This window comes from Homo sapiens, chromosome 4 (genome assembly GCF_000001405.40).
Source record: "Homo sapiens chromosome 4, GRCh38.p14 Primary Assembly".
In the NCBI taxonomy this organism is placed as follows: domain Eukaryota; kingdom Metazoa; phylum Chordata; class Mammalia; order Primates; family Hominidae; genus Homo; species Homo sapiens.
Genome location: NC_000004.12, coordinates 64,297,380 through 64,313,549, shown reverse-complemented (window position 1 = coordinate 64,313,549; position 16,170 = coordinate 64,297,380). Strand labels below are relative to the sequence as shown.

The 16,170-nt window shown below is 32.6% G+C and overlaps 1 protein-coding gene across 9 annotated transcripts in view; it reads left to right on the top strand.

The window, feature by feature from the left end:
* The window catches only part of TECRL (trans-2,3-enoyl-CoA reductase like), a 133,163-nt gene that overhangs the window by 95,911 nt on the left and 21,082 nt on the right, over window positions 1-16,170 (top strand). For 8 of the 9 annotated variants that reach the window (XM_024453961.2, XM_005265664.4, NM_001363796.1 and 5 more), the window contains 3 exons: window positions 3,619-3,724; window positions 8,312-8,384; window positions 13,533-13,576. In XM_024453961.2, coding sequence (XP_024309729.1) covers window positions 3,619-3,724; window positions 8,312-8,384; window positions 13,533-13,576 — 223 coding nt within the window. Of the gene's footprint in view, window positions 1-439; window positions 595-3,618; window positions 3,725-8,311; window positions 8,385-13,532; window positions 13,577-16,170 lie in introns of those variants that run through there. The other variant, XR_001741192.3, reaches the window with a different exon arrangement.

Here is a 16,170-nt window from a genome sequence, read left to right as displayed (position 1 = left end):
AGATCGCACCACTGCACTCCGGCCTGGGGGACAGAGAAAGACTCCGTCTCAAAAAAAAAAAAAAAAAAAAAAAGGAGTAAGGCAATAAACAAAGTATTCTATATAATTGTGGTGTTTAGCATATTGTGAAAATAATCTTTCTCTCTCTGTCTCTCTGTAAGAAATATATGCCAAATTAAATTGAAAGAGAATATTTATTCAGGATGCTATAGTGGGATCTGGGGAGGGAAATTTGTTGAAAAAAAAAAAGACCTGAACAAATTTTATGCATTAAATAAACTCCAAGTGAATTAAGAAGCAAATTGTAAGTATTTAGGTCATATGGATACTAAAAGATAAAGAACTAATTTCATCCTAACTTTCTTACCTCGAATCAAGTTTTGCCTACCTTTAATTACAGTACTCCAGCCACACTGACCTCCTTTCTTGTCCTGATTAGCTACTGTGTTAGTTCGTTCTCATGTTGCTATGAAGAAATACCCAAGACTGAGTAATTTATAAAGAAAAAAAGATTTAATTGACTCACAGTTCCGCAAGGCTGGGGAGGCCTCAAGAAACTTACAATTATGGCGGAAGGTACTTCTTCACATTTTCGTAAGTGAAAGGAATGACCAATTATTTTTAAAAGCGGCTGGGATAAAGAGATTGGAAGGAGAACCTAAAAGCGTTCTTTTTTTAGGCTAAATATGTAACATATACCAGATACGTAGCAGAGCATGAAAAAAGTTTTCTTTAGTGTCATTCTCAAAGGAATTGACTCATATTTACATTTTTTTTTTTTTTGAGAGAGGGTCTTGCTCTGTAGCCCAGGCTAGAGTGCGGTGGCTCAAATTATGGCTCACTGCAGCCTCACTCTTCAGGGCTCAAGCCATTTTACCACCTCAGCCCCCTAAGTAGCTGAGACTATAGGTGTACACACCATCACAACCAGCTAATGCTTAAAAAAAAATTTTAGAGATGAAGTCTCATTATGTTGCCCAGGCTGTTCTTGAACTCCTGGGCTCAAGGGATCCTCCTGCCTCAGTCTCGCAAAGTGCCTGGATTATAGGCATGCACCACTGCACCAGCCTTACTATTCTTAAACAGAAATACAGCATGTTTGGTAGTATCTCAGTGATGAATGTATTTGTGCCACATTATTCCCAAATAACAAATATGTAAAGTTTATATAAAGTAATTCCACAGCAGATACACAAACTACTTTTGAAATTTAGGTATCTAGTTTTAGGTACCTAGATTTAGGTATCTAGATTTAGAAAATAATCACAGGGCTTCTGTCACCTAATTTTCAGGATGATGTTGTTTTAAGATGAATTCTTAAATTCCACATCCAATTGAAACACATTAAAATGTTGTCTCCAAAATTGCTTTGAATCATATTATAATGTCAAAAGAAATTTCTGCTAAGTTCATGTAGAAGGCAGATTTCTATATGTGACCGAACCACCACAAAGTTCTTCAGATCACTTAGAAACCTCCGCACACGGGGACTAAAGGTACATCTCCCATAGGAACTGTATCTGCGTCAAGTATCTTATGAACCTGTTACCTGAACATTTCCTTATCTTCTTCAACAGAAACCAGAAACCTGGTGTAGCGCCATGCCTCCCTTGCTATTTGTAAAGTTGAAGCTGTGCTTTTCTGTGCTGTGCCCTCATATCCTGAACCTTACTTGATTTAAAATAAATAAGATTTTATCAATACTTTGGTTGGGAAAAAGAATTGGATTCACACCTATTTATGGTTTTACAGTTAATTTAGCAATCCACAAAAACTAATCAGTGTTTGGAAGTTAAACATCATTAAATAGAATAATAATATTTTGAAATAAAATCAGACTTGATGAGTTAGCAGTGATGTGCATGATGGCATATATATAAACTAAGTCTCTAGCTGTACATTCTATGGAGGTTTCTATGCTCTCATGGTATAATATAAAATAAATGAATGTACTAATATAGAGAAATCATAGCTTGAACCAAAATTTCTCACTTAGGGCTCTGCTACATTGCTGCTTTTTTATAAAACAAAAAAATTTTATTACTCAAGGGTTTTTGTAACTACATCTACAAAAGAACAATAAAATGAGGAGAGATACCAATTTCCTTAACTACCCTGTGTGCTCACAAGGCAGCTTCTTGTATCTGGACTTCTGCTTTTGTTTGTCTGACTTTCTAGAGAGCTCTTCCCCCAGACATTCATGATGCTTGCTCTCTCACCTTTTTCAGAATTTGTCTGCCATTATACTTATAGGTATCTGCACCACATAATACATTTATGTTACATAATAGGTTCACAGTTTTGTTTTTACGAATTAATGAATAATGATAAATTTGCTGCTGACTTAACCAGGTTAGTGTTTATTTAATTATTTGTTTTTCCTAAAGTCACCCTACTCGTACCAGAAATCATTTCCACTAAAATCAACTCCCAAACGTATAAATAAACTCAATGTCTAATTTTATTATTATATAGAGTAAATGATATGCTGATTTTTATGCTCAACCTTTACTGGTTAAAGTATGTCATCAGTCGGATGTGGTGTCTCATGCCTGTAATCCTAGCAGTTGGGGAACCCCAGGCAAGTTGATTATGTGAGCCCAGGAGTTTGAGACTAGCCTGGGCAACAAGGTTTAACCCATTTCTACAAAAAATACAAAAAAATTAGCCGGGCATGGCGGTGTGGTCCTGTAGTCTAGTTACTCAGGAAGCTGAGGTGGGAGGATTGCTGGAGCCTGAGAGTTTAAGACTGAGAGATCATGCCACTGCACTGCAGCCTGGACAACACAGCAAGATCCTGTCTCTAAAAACAAAAACAACGCACAAAAAGTAGGTCATCTTTGATCCGTATTGAATTTTTTAATAGCAACCAAAGTTTTTGAGATTTCACATTTTTATATGTAACAAAATAGGTACAAATCTTCATGAAAAATACATTGTTTATAGTATATCCAGAAAAATATACTGCTGTAAATCAATCACATTTTTGTTTACTTTTAAGATAGTAATTATATAAAAATGATAAGAAGAGGTGGTAACTTAGAGTACAGCAACACAAACAAACACACAAAGGGACAAAATTAGATAGGAAAAAACAAACAAAACAAAAACAAAGCACAAAACTACATTATTACTGCACAGAAAATGCAATTTAAATTTTCTCAATCTTAGTACTTGCTAAAGGACAACCAGACAATTAAAAAGTTATTCTGACTATTATAAAATGTCAAATACATTCCAACTAGGCTTTGGATATTTTTAAAACTTGTAAATTGTCTGTTTCAGTCGAAGTATTTCGATATGAACATATTTGCAATTATTATATTTATACCCACTCCTGGGACAGGTGTGAGCATAACAGTTTATGACTGGTATTATAAAATATTTCTAATGTCATCAGAAGTAAATTTATAGAGACTCTTATAACAGCTACTTTTATTACTAAATTTAGAAAATTGTGAAAATAAAATATTAAAGCAAGTATTTGTGTTTTAGCTACCAGAAACAATGTTTCCCAATAGCTAGCATATTAAACTAAAAAAATTAAAATGTATCATGCATGAGGCAAGCCAGAACTTCAAAAGGATTTTCATGTTTATGTTTTATTTTTTTTTCCAGCTTGGCTTGCTTCTGTCATTGTATACACTACATCCGATACCTTTTGGAAACCTTATTTGTTCACAAAGTTTCTGCAGGACACACACCTTTGAAAAATTTGATAATGGTGAGGATGCTTTGTGTTTTTAATAATGATTGAGACATTTTATATGTTGGATCCTTTGCAAAATATTTAATCATTGTTTCCTTCCGAAACTTAGATTTTCACGTTTAATTGCATAAGCATACTTAAACATTCTTTTCCTAAAATGTCATTCTTTTTGCGTGATATATTTAATTTGAACTTAACCCTGTAGAAAGATTTGTCATTACCTCATATTACAAGACAAGCTAGATACTCCTAGGAATCTTTTAATTTTGGTAATACTAAGCACTGAATTCAGATTATTTGAGTGCCACTTGAAGAGCAGAATATGATATAAGAACGTTCCTACAAATATACATCTGTGTGGGATTAAAATGGTGATACTATATTCCATTATTATGGCAGTTGTCAATATGATGCTAGTGTGTTTGCTCTTCTAGAAATTGTGAAAGCAACAGTTATGAACTATCAAATAACTACCAAAACATGAAAAAATATGTAAAATATTGACATGGGAAAGTACATTAGACAACATGTTGAAACTCAATTTTCAATTTAAGCTAAATTTTGTTTTTCAATTTAAAGTCTATTTTCAGAAAAAGGTTTGTCTGTAAAAAAAGTGTCCTGTTTTTTGTCAAATATCTGCTTTGTAATATCGCAACAGAACAGCCATTCTATTGTTGTCATTGCAGTAAAGCAGTAAACTGAAATTCTGAGACCTCAGAAGTTATTTAGGACTGCTTTTTTAATAGAAGATATTACAATCAATCAAATCAGTTCAAGATCACCATTATAGACTACAACTCCTAAATCCGAGCCATTTCCATTCCAGTCAATCAACATGTGTTACTACCAATTATCAAATAATTTATTTTTTAAATTCACTAATTGTTAGAAAAATATTAGTGTATCTTATGCAATTGATAATTTATGTTTTATTTTTAGTAATTCATTTATATTTACTACTTACAAAATAATTCTCACCAAATTTTTCTAAAATATTCTGTTAACTTGACATATATCACAAATATCCATTAATATTAGTACAAGTGGAGCAAAGAAATGCATTTTCTTAGTGATATCAAAATAGTATTTGTAAAATGCTTCTGTTACCATCTCCTTATGCCTTAGTTTAGTGAGGTCTGAGTTCTCGTCTCACAACCAAGAAGAATTAAGACACATGGCCACTAGACAGTGATTAGGGCAGAGTAGGATTTATTAAACAACATAAAAGCTCTCAGCAGCTAGAGGGTACCTGAAGAAGATTGCCAGAAATGGGGATAAATTCGGATAAATTCTGGGCCTTTTATGTGGGAAAGACAAGGAAGCCTTCTGTGGCTTACACCCTAAGGGGAGGGGTAGAGATCCCCCTGGGGTTGTTGCATCGGCACATGCCTGCGGTTGGCCATAGATACTTCATCTTGGCTATTACTTATGAGTGCCTAACGAAAGCCTGTGGAGGGGGGAAGCTGAAGCCACAATGCTAATGGCACTATGAGTTCAGGATCAGGATCAATTTAGTATGCATCTCAGTTCTTGTCTGTACCTGCGCAGGTGGCTGGAGAGTTTCTTCTGAGTAAGCATCTTGGTATAAGAGGAAATTCTTAACCACATTTCCTTCTGCCAGCTACATAATGGGTGGTTCAGGTGTGTTCTTGTAGGCATTGTCCCTCTTGCAAGACCTTCTATCTCTATCTGCCTAATCAGCCCCTACCTACCTCCTCTCTCATTCCCCACTCTGGAGTGTTAACCCTAACTGCCATTAGGTGGAACGGGGAGATAACTGCTCTGGCTTTTTCAGGCTGTGAGAGGGTGTTGTTCCAGAAAGGCAGAGGGATTCTCATGTGGTCCTAATTCTAGTACTTCGTAAGTCCTCCAGTATGCACATTTGAAAGTGTTTTCTCCTCCATCTTCCCATATTATCATTAGAAGCCTATTTAGGTCATTCAACGGTACTGCTGTCTTTCCAACTGGATAAGGCCTTCCCTTGTCTCTGGTATTATGTGAGATATGAAGCTCATATCCAAATTTCTTTACTGCTTGCAATGCTGCTTGTTTCTCAGCAGTGGTCAGAGTTTGATTTAAGAGTAACATATCATCCTTTTAGAACACTTTATATACATGGGTTAAATTCTGGAAGGCCTCTATAAATGAGTGATGTTGGGGCTTGCCCAGAGTGAACATTAGGGTCTGAGGGTAAAAGGAGTCCCAGTGATCCAGGTTGTTCTTAAGGGGAGTGCAGGCTGAAGATGGATTGTTACACATATGGAAAGAGAGGGGAGAAAAGGCATCCCTTAGTCTGTCTTCCACTTTTAGGGTGAACTTGGATGGGGAGAGAGAGAGAAAAAGCATCTCCTTTCTCCTCTCCTCGTCCTTGTATCCTCTGGGTCCCAGCAACCTTTATAGGTGTCACCTGTGGATGCAAGTGTGACCTCCAACAACAGACCAGGAGGGCTGGAAGGTAGGAATAGTCACACTTACCTATGCTGCACCCCAGCTCTCCAGTGTTGACCACCTTTGGGGTCCCACAGATCTATTTCTTCTTTTGAGCTTCATACCCAAAGCTTCCCACTTGAAACTTGGAAAATACCTTGAAGTAATTGAACTGGGGCAAGAAACATTAATGAAGGGGGGGTGTCCTTAAATCTTTAAAAAGCATCCCTTCACTGATAGGTAATGGACAGAGCCAGATCATAGCATTCAAGGAAATGAAAGTGACTGACCTCCAAAACTAGCCCCTTCTTCCTGCCCAGGGGTTGTTAAACTTGGAGGAAGAATAGGTGTCTTTGAAAATATAGGGGTTGGCTTGGCTAATTCTGTGTGCTAGTAACCAGGGAATTAGGGCTCCCCCAGACATAGGACCTATAGAGCTCTCCACAGAAACAAATCTTTGCCTTGTCAGGCACCTTGGCAAAGTTTGGAATGTTAGCCTGTAACTTTGTGTCCAAATTCTTTTCAGACAGAGGTTTGAAAGAGAGGAGTTTGGGGCTTGGTGAGCATCCCTCAAAATAAGCCTCCTAGGAGAAGAAAATTGATTTCTCACATAGTGCACACTTCAATGCTTGCTGAGCAGTGCTGACTTCTCTCATGGAAATAAGAAGCAGCCTAGATGGAGAGGAGAATAGTCACCCAGGGAGAAATAGCCTCCTTTACAGTGCCAGTGGGTCTCCTTGACTGGAGAAAGGAAACTCTCTAAATCTTTATATATCCCTTGTTCTAAGAACAGGTAAAAGCAACATTGTTCTGGGTTACACTTCTGATGAGTAAGCAAGCTACTCAATTTTCCCAATAATATTATCTCTCCTGGTTGCAAAAACATACATAACATTGAATATAAAGAAGGGAGAGCAACGATGATAGTCTCAAAAGAAAGAAAATGTGATATAAAATACTGGAAATCTTTATCCAACACCCTAATGGGGTGTCAGGGACTGGAGCCAGTCCAAAGGCCTTTGCGTAACACCAAGATCTAGCCTCAGCCAGATACCTTCAGTTGCCCCAGGATATCCTTCTAAGTCCCACACAACGGCTAGAGCTCCATGAAGGGAAACTGTTTTGGAACAGAATAAACATTCCCAACACCCACGGATGAAGAGGTTTTGACAAAGTCCTCATTGGTAAGCTTGTCTTTTGAGTCTTGTAGGAGCAACAGCCATGCTATTCACTCTTAACTGACTGACAGAGGCCCAGTGTTTTGTTTGGTTTCATATAATAAAGAGAGGCAAGAGCTCTTGGAAATGAAAGTAAAAGAAGTCTGCCCTTACTCACCCTTCCCATGATCCTGAGCAATCCCCCAAAATGTTGCAGTCTCCTTATTCCTTAGTTTAGTGAGGTCTGAGTTATTGTCCCACGACCAAGAAGAATAAGGAACATGGACACTGGAGAGTGTGTAAGGCAGAGTAGCATTTATTAAGCAATAGAAATGCTCTCAGCAGCAACAAGGGACATGAAGAGGGTTGTAAGAAATGGGTCTGAGTCCTCAGTCTTTTATGTGGCAAAGACAAGGAAGTCTTTTGTGGGTTCTACCCTAAGGGGAGTGGTAAAATTCCCCCTGGGGGTGTTGCATCTGTGCATGCCTGGGTTTGGCTATAGCTACTCCATCTTGGTTATTACTCATGAGTGCCTAAGTGAAACCCATGGAGCAGGGAGGGTTAAAGCACAATGCTAATAGCATTATAATGTGGTCAGGATTGTTTTAGGACATCCTCAGTCCTTGTCTGTGCCTCTGCAGGTGGCTGGAAAGTCCCTTTTGAGCAAACATCTTGGTATAACAAGAAATTCTTAACCATATTTTGTCCTGCTAACTCCATAACAGGGGCAGTGCAGGCACAGTCCCACAGGTGTTGGCCCTCTTCTGAGACCCTCCCTCTCTGCCTGCCTAACCAGCCCCTACCTGGTTCCTCTCTCACTATTACATTGGGCAAAGTAATATTCTGTTTATTTAGCTTAGACAATTTGTACCATTTTACATATAAATGCTGCAGTGTCTAATATAAATGTATGTGGTGGTTTCAAATTGTGACATGCATGTAATATAAATGTATGTCACAATTGAAATATATATTACATATTTTTCCTAACTTTTATTTTGTTTTGTTTTGTTTGCAGAGTTGTGCCTTTTACTGGGGATTTACTTCTTGGATTGCCTACTACATTAATCATCCACTATATACACCACCATGTATGTAGGGTTTCTTCTTAACTAACCGTATACTAAAGGACCAACCTAAAAACTCTATTCTAAATGACATACATAAAGGAATAAGTAAAAAATGAAACAATTCATTTTAAATTGCTTTCATATCATATTTCTTTAAATGTTTATGTAGGCCTACAAGACCAATTTGACTCATATATTTTTATTTATTTTGTTTCTACACGAACCACCAAAAATATTAGTAGGTTGTAAACCTCCAAAAAAACAGCTAATAAAATGAAAAAACAACAATTAAAGATAAAATTATTGTATAATTATACAATCATATACTAATCAGCTATCAGATATTTTACAAGTAAATGATAAACATTTAATTATTCTTTTAAATATAATTCAACAAAAAATAGGGCCAATTTTTCTGTGACTTATCAGTTTCTATTTATGATTTGATTTACTAAAATATCATGGCTCTTGACTCAGATGAAACATTTGGTTGAATGTACACTGGATGAAACCTAATTCCTTGGTTCTTAATCTTCAAGGAAAAAGTTTGCCCTGATCAAGGAATTTCATTTCTTCCTTCAATGTGGACTTTTCTCTCTTCAGCTCTTACTGTAGCACATAAGGCACACAATGTAAAGCTCAACAATTAAATGATTTCTCATTTATTTGACAATTATTTTTGTGGGCTATTTCTGGTGTTTACAAAGTTTAAAATAAATGGTATATTCAAACTTTATTTTTAAATTTTAGAAAATAACTTAAACTTCCTTTATTTCTTGGCTGAAGTTGTAATATAGAGAATTACAATGTTCAGGGTCTTTGCCAAAACCAACAAGTTCAGTCTGGGAAGTGAAGAGTCATTGATTTTAATGATTAAAACTTCAGCTGGTCTTAATACTAACAATTAACTATGAATATTGAAAGTGAAAATTTCCTATATCTTCTGATTTTTCAAATATTTTATAAGATGTACTTATTACCTTTACAACGTTAGCACATAGAAGTATTGCTCCAGACTATGTTAATAAGATACACTTCTGAAAAATGCTTCATTGCCATATTGGTTACAAAATAATAATAGTAGTTAATTTTGTTAATATATGTAAAACATTTATTGAAAACTGACTATTTGTTAATAACTGTAAATATGCTATTTATTTTTAATTAAAAACATTATTTTGTGGCTTTAATATTCCCCATTGAAGGCTAGAAAAATGATGCCATGAAAAGATAATTTCACTATGCTCAAGATCTTTAAATGCATAAGATACAATTAGGACTCAAATTCTGTGAAAACATATTATAGCATTTTAATACTTATGACAAGTGGAAAATGAATATCTTGTCTAGGAAGTCCACACTTAACATGGTTGTAATATACATGAGATACAGCTATTATGCTTTAGTTAAATCATGCTAAATAATAATGTGACTTCTACAACAGTATATGATAGAATAAGCTGCTTTTTCCTTTAATAGAGAAAGCATAAATTAACTTTTATTAAGGCTTCCTATTAGGTAAATGCTAAATGGTTGGCACATTTTATCTCATTGAATCCTCATGAAAATTATACTGTTTGTATTCCCACTTTACAGATGAATATCTAAACTTTAGAAAATGTAGGCAGATTTTCCAAATTTACTCAGCAAATAACTGGAAAATAATCTATAGCATAGATACAGATAACAGTAAACTGTGCAAGAGGTTAGCCAATCCACAGCCAGTCAGTTACATAAATTCTGTATAGACATCATCATGGAGATCCCCTTCACAAAAATGAGCATATCATCTTTATCTTGAGTTTTGATCCAGGTAGTAGAGACTCCTATTTCTTAAACTATTAGTTATATGGGCTTAGGATACCTAACACACATTGTTGACAAATAACAGGACCCAGAGACTCTCTCTAATTTGTTCCATGCTTATGCCATTTATTGTTTTTTTTCTGTAAAATTTCACTATTTTCTATATTTATGCTGCAAAAAAACTTCCCTTTCATTTCTTATCACTTTCTAAGTCTTTAATAGAATATTTTCCCATTTCAAAACTTTGATTATAATTAATAGATTTATTTTAATTTTAGAAATTGCTTATATATTGCATCATAAATATTCAATTCTGTACTCACAAAGCACAAATAGCACAAACTACATTATCTTTAGGTGAGATAAAATAAACCTTAAAAATACAATATAAGCACAAAAAAATTCTTAAAAACAAAATGAGGTGATATTTAAAAACACTTCCTAAATTATTTTAACAGTAAAAGATATAATAATAATTAAAGAGCAACTATGACAAGGTAACAAAAAAGGAAATAGTATATATTAAAGCTGTTTTCAGCAAAGCAGGTATAATCTTAATAAATAATCATATTTAAGGAAGATGAAATGAAACACTTCAATTAAACAAATCAGTAATTCTTTTAATTTTTGTTTTAATATATCTTACTTTGCCACATTAAACCCATCTGCTTAAGATTACAAAACAGACAATTGATCCAATTTTTATATTGTTCCTCTTGAAAATTTTCATTAAATTATGCATGCTTACAACATAGTTTCCCTCATTTTACCCTCAAAATTAGAAAAAAAAGTTACTGGACTTTTGGACTTTACCTGTTTAATCTTTAATCACATATTCTGTACTTTCACTTTATATAAGGTATGCTCCTTCAACATACATAATTAAGTCTTTAATTCAGGATTTTTTTCTTGCATTACTGCCATGATTATTATTTTCTCTGGTTTTCTGTTGTTGTTTTTTCGTCATAGTTGACACTGCTCTTCTTTGCTCTCTATGCTAACTGGTCTTTTTCCCACTCCTTTCAGAATTCTCTGTGGTAACAGTGTTTGACTTTTATCACAATTTTCACCACAATCTATTCTCATCAAATTTGGCTGCATAAAGTTAATAGCATCTGTATATTAATACACAAAAGCTAACTTAATTGAAAAACAGCATGTTGTATACATATTTCCATCACATATTCTACTAGAGTTTATTTTCCATACTTCTTGAATAATAGTTAAATACAACTAAATGAAATAGATTATCAAAATTGTAAAACTGCCCAATGGCAGGAACATTTTAATATACCCAAATCAGAATGTATATGTTCAAAAATCTTAATATATAAATGTCTACTATCAACATAATCAAAGAATAATGGCCTATTAGGTTATTTTTACCTATCTAAATGTGAAACATTATACAGATTATAAAATATTATTAAACATTTTAATAAGTGTTATAATGACTAATGTAAATAGAAAGTTTTTTCTCTTCGCACTACCTATAACTTTGTTTTTTTGGAAATAAATATGAAAAATATTAGACTCTTCACTCGATACTTGTTTTTATCACATCATTATTCATTTTCATTTAAAAATAAGAATAAGGCATATGTTTACTGTACTCTGCCTAATGTGCTTTGAACCCTCTCTTCTCTATACTAATGTGCATTCATTTTTATAAATCAAAGCTTAATTGTGTACTCAGAAGAATCCTCCCTGATCCTCCCAGATTACAAGATATCCTTTTCAGTTATTTTATTAAATACTACATAGATCTGTATAGTAGCACTTATCAATTTTAACAAACTTCCGTTTGTTATCATGTGATTAGTACTTTTCTGGGTCAGACTATAAGTTCAATTAAGATTGACTTTGGCTTTGTGTGTACTTTCTCACAAGCGCAAAGTTCAGTGCCTGTCATGCGAATTCTTGATAACTATAGTTGAATGAGTAAAGTTACATTGAATAGTAGGTATAAATAAAAGAATTATGGCTGATACAGATGCATAGCAACCAACTGTGATTTGGCAAAAGCAGAATGTTTAATTATATGGCAAAATTGGTACAACATTAAGAGAAAAGTAAGTTACAAAATTGTTATATCAAATATTATAAAAATGTACAACATATATGAATATGTCAAAGGGGAAAATAATAATATTCACTGGTTTTCTAAGGTTGATGAGATTTTAGTCCATTTTCTTTTCCCTTACTACTTTTCTCTATTTCCTAAATGTTCTCTGCTAATATTTTTTATTTTACTATTAGATATATAAACTTCATAAAAACAAGACTTCCAATTCATGTACATATGGTTTGTATATATATATTCTATGAATATATATCTATGCAAAATATTTATGTAACCTTTAACTAAAATATGCTTTTAAATTTCTAGCTCAAGAAAACAAAATTTAGTAAAAGATTTATACGTAAAGATGTTCAAAGCAGTATTATTTATCACACATAAAATTAAAGTGACCTTTTCAGCCATTCTATGATTAATGTTTTAAGAGCTAGCCATGTCTTGCATTATTATGAAGATTCAATTACCGTTATGACAATGAGTGTTTAATACTATTGAGAAATCTTTAAATATATTGTTAGGTGAAAAACGCACATTTTAAAATAAGGGATAATATTTTTATGTGTAGATGCAAATGTGTTTATATAAATACAATTTACATGCTCACATACATAAAATGAGAAGATAGGAATGCAACTGTTAATAAATATGATGATAGGTTTATCAAATAATTCTATTTTTATTATTATTGAATATTCCAACTTTTCCACAGTGAGCAACCCTGCCTTTAGAACATTGCTTTAAATGGTGTTTTCTACATTACTCTTTATCTGCCCTTTGGAACTTAACCTATATTTTTTTTTATTTTAAGGTCAGGCAAGTAATACATCATATATTTGTTATAATAAAAATATAAAATACTTATAATTCTACCTGTGACAAAACATCAATGTAGAAAACAAATGACTATAATCAGCATTTTCCTTTTTATTGTTAAACATTAAAAATGAGAGTTATTTTGTGGTGCCATTATATGCTTGGCCATACTTAAGTGTGCTTTTAAAATGGGACAAATTCTAAATCTGCCTTCAAGGAGTTTAATAATACAAATTAATAATATATTCCATTTGTAATTTAAATATCATTATGTTAATAACAAAAGTACATGTGAAAAAAAAGTCAACACTTTAGATTGCAAAAGTATCATCCCAAAAGGTGAATTACATACTAGACAGTTCTATTGATTATAGAATTTATACCCAATAAATACTGCCTGAATTATGTCTATATATTTGACAATCCAAACTATGAGTATCTGCATGACATATTCTTTTTCTACTCTCCAGCATTTGGAAACAGGCAAATCACAGTATCTGCTATCAATTTTCTGGTATGTATCATATATATATTTTGCTATTCACGCTCTAATTTTGGTATTATTAAGAAAAACAGACTGTATCTGAAGATTTGTCATGTAGAAAATATGATATATATTTATATAATATACATAATGATATAAAATGAAGTAAATCATATAACTTTCTATAATCAAGTCTTTAGCTCTCTAAATTTTATAATCAAAATGTTGTAGTCATCTCTAAAGGTTGATTAGAATTATTTGAAATACAATAAATATTTGAAAAATTTATACTCACTGATGCTACTGTGTGCACATTTACCAACCTATAAAGAGCAAAAATTTTTTGCAAATCTTACAGACAAACACCCCAAAAACACTTTGGCATAATTGTTAATTTAACTAATTCAAGATGAACTCAGAGTTAGCCTTTTTAATGAAACCTGGCTCTTTCTAAACTGTTCTCATTCAATTTCTTTAGATTGTTATATGTAAATAAACATATATGTAGATAAAATTGTGTGGAAATCAATCTGGGTACACAAGACTCTTGATTATTTCTAAAATGCATTAATTATTTCATTTGACACTTTTTTTAAGTGCTTATAAGCTCTTTAACTCCTTGCTTTCATCTGTGTTCATGTTCTCCTTTCATCCCTGTCATTGATAAATTAGTTAACTCCTATGATTCATCTACAAGTTCATATTTCTTGCAAAGTTTGTGTTCAACAACTTATTTCTAACCATTTTAATACAGGTCATAAATCACCTGCCACACTTTGTAAGGAGCTCTCACATGACCCTCTCTTGCTTCCTCTCTCTCTACATATCTTTAGTTAAGAGTTTAGGTAAGAACGTCCTCCACTGTGTTGGCTTTGAAAAGGAGAGATCTTTTTTTTTGTCTTTTCAGCATATAGTTTGGCCTAGCAAGAACTCATTACTTGTTTGAATAGATAGCACAGATTATTTATGTATTTGGAATTTCTTCAACAATATGTTGAAAATATATCACAGCCTTGTAATTTTCCAATTGTGCATACTGTTCAAGGAGAGGAATTCTGTGATTCACGTGTTGTAACAGCGTTATTTAATGTTGTATACAGCGTACTACAACCCCTGTTGTATTAAGACTAATGTTCTGATATTAACTACTCAGTAAATCTGAGGGAAGAGAAGAATAAATTCATGGATAAACAAAATAATAACCACCTATTTGTTAGTAATTTCAGTATGTTTTAGATTAATATCTGATTATTAGTCTACTTTTTCTCCTCCTTATGATGTTGTCCACTTTTTCAAAAAAATTGTGGGTTATAATTTTTTTCTGTGTAATTAAGACAACTCCCTTTTCATGTAATATTATTAATTTCTTCCCTTTTCTCAAATATAATATGGCTATGTATGTATTTATTCCTTCTTTTCAAATGTGTATGATAATACTATAAAATAAAACTTTTAATAAGTCATTTCTTTTATTTAAAAAAGTTATGTTACTATAAATATGTTATAATATTTTTCATAAAATGTTAAGAGGCATAATTAGACATAAGCAAAATTCTAATAGCTTGCAATTATACTTTTTTTCCCCAGAGACTTAAAAATTCTGCTTTCTTATAAAGCTACTGGTTTTTCGTCTTCACATATCACTTTGTTAATCAAGTATATTTCATACAGCCCCAGGCAAAAATTAATAAACCCAAAGATGCTAAATTAGACAAACACTGATAGATGGTGTAATAGACTATGTCCAATAGAGATGAAGTAGGTAAATGTGATAACTTTAATTGCACATTTAAGCACATAGCAAGCATTGTCTGTTTCAATCACACATTTAACAATTTGATAAACTTTAAATTTATATAATCTTTAGATTTAAATATTTTTTAAATATTGAAAGTAATATAATTAAAACCTGTGCTTTTAATTATACATAGCATAATATTAAGCATAGGTGAAAACCTTTCTTAAAAGTAAAAAAATTGAATGTAGTTATATTCCATAGAAAACCAAATTTAGAAATAAGATAGAATGACCACTGTGACTCTTTTACACACATAAATTGTCATAAGAAATAAAGAAGACCTGTTAGTCCTGAAATTTCTTAGTAGTGTTTACTGTTAAGACATATTTAACTTTCACAAATAATATATGATAGTAAGATATTAGTGTTAGGAAACTGAATCCAATATAAGACATAATAACAATAACCAGTTGATTGAGTTTGCATATAAACATAAAGAGGTCTGCTATTCATTGAAAGCATAATATTCTGCAATTTAAAGTCTATTCTTCAATTTATAATAACTGAATATATATGTATGTATGTTTGAAAGTTATTATAAGTACTATATGTGCAAATGATTTGGAAAGAATAGTCAGCATATGTCAAGTCCAATGCATTTGAAATTATATTCTACTATGTACTGTTTATTGTAACATAAACTAACAGTAGATAGTACAATCCATATTGTACAGAAGAAACAAAGGAGAAATTAATGGATCGATCTTATATAATATGCAATTCAACCAGAAAAGACTTATCTTAATTGTAAATGCTATTTTTTTGCTGATAAAACGTTATATTAACAAAACTTATTCTTATTTTTGACCTATGTACTCTTTTAATA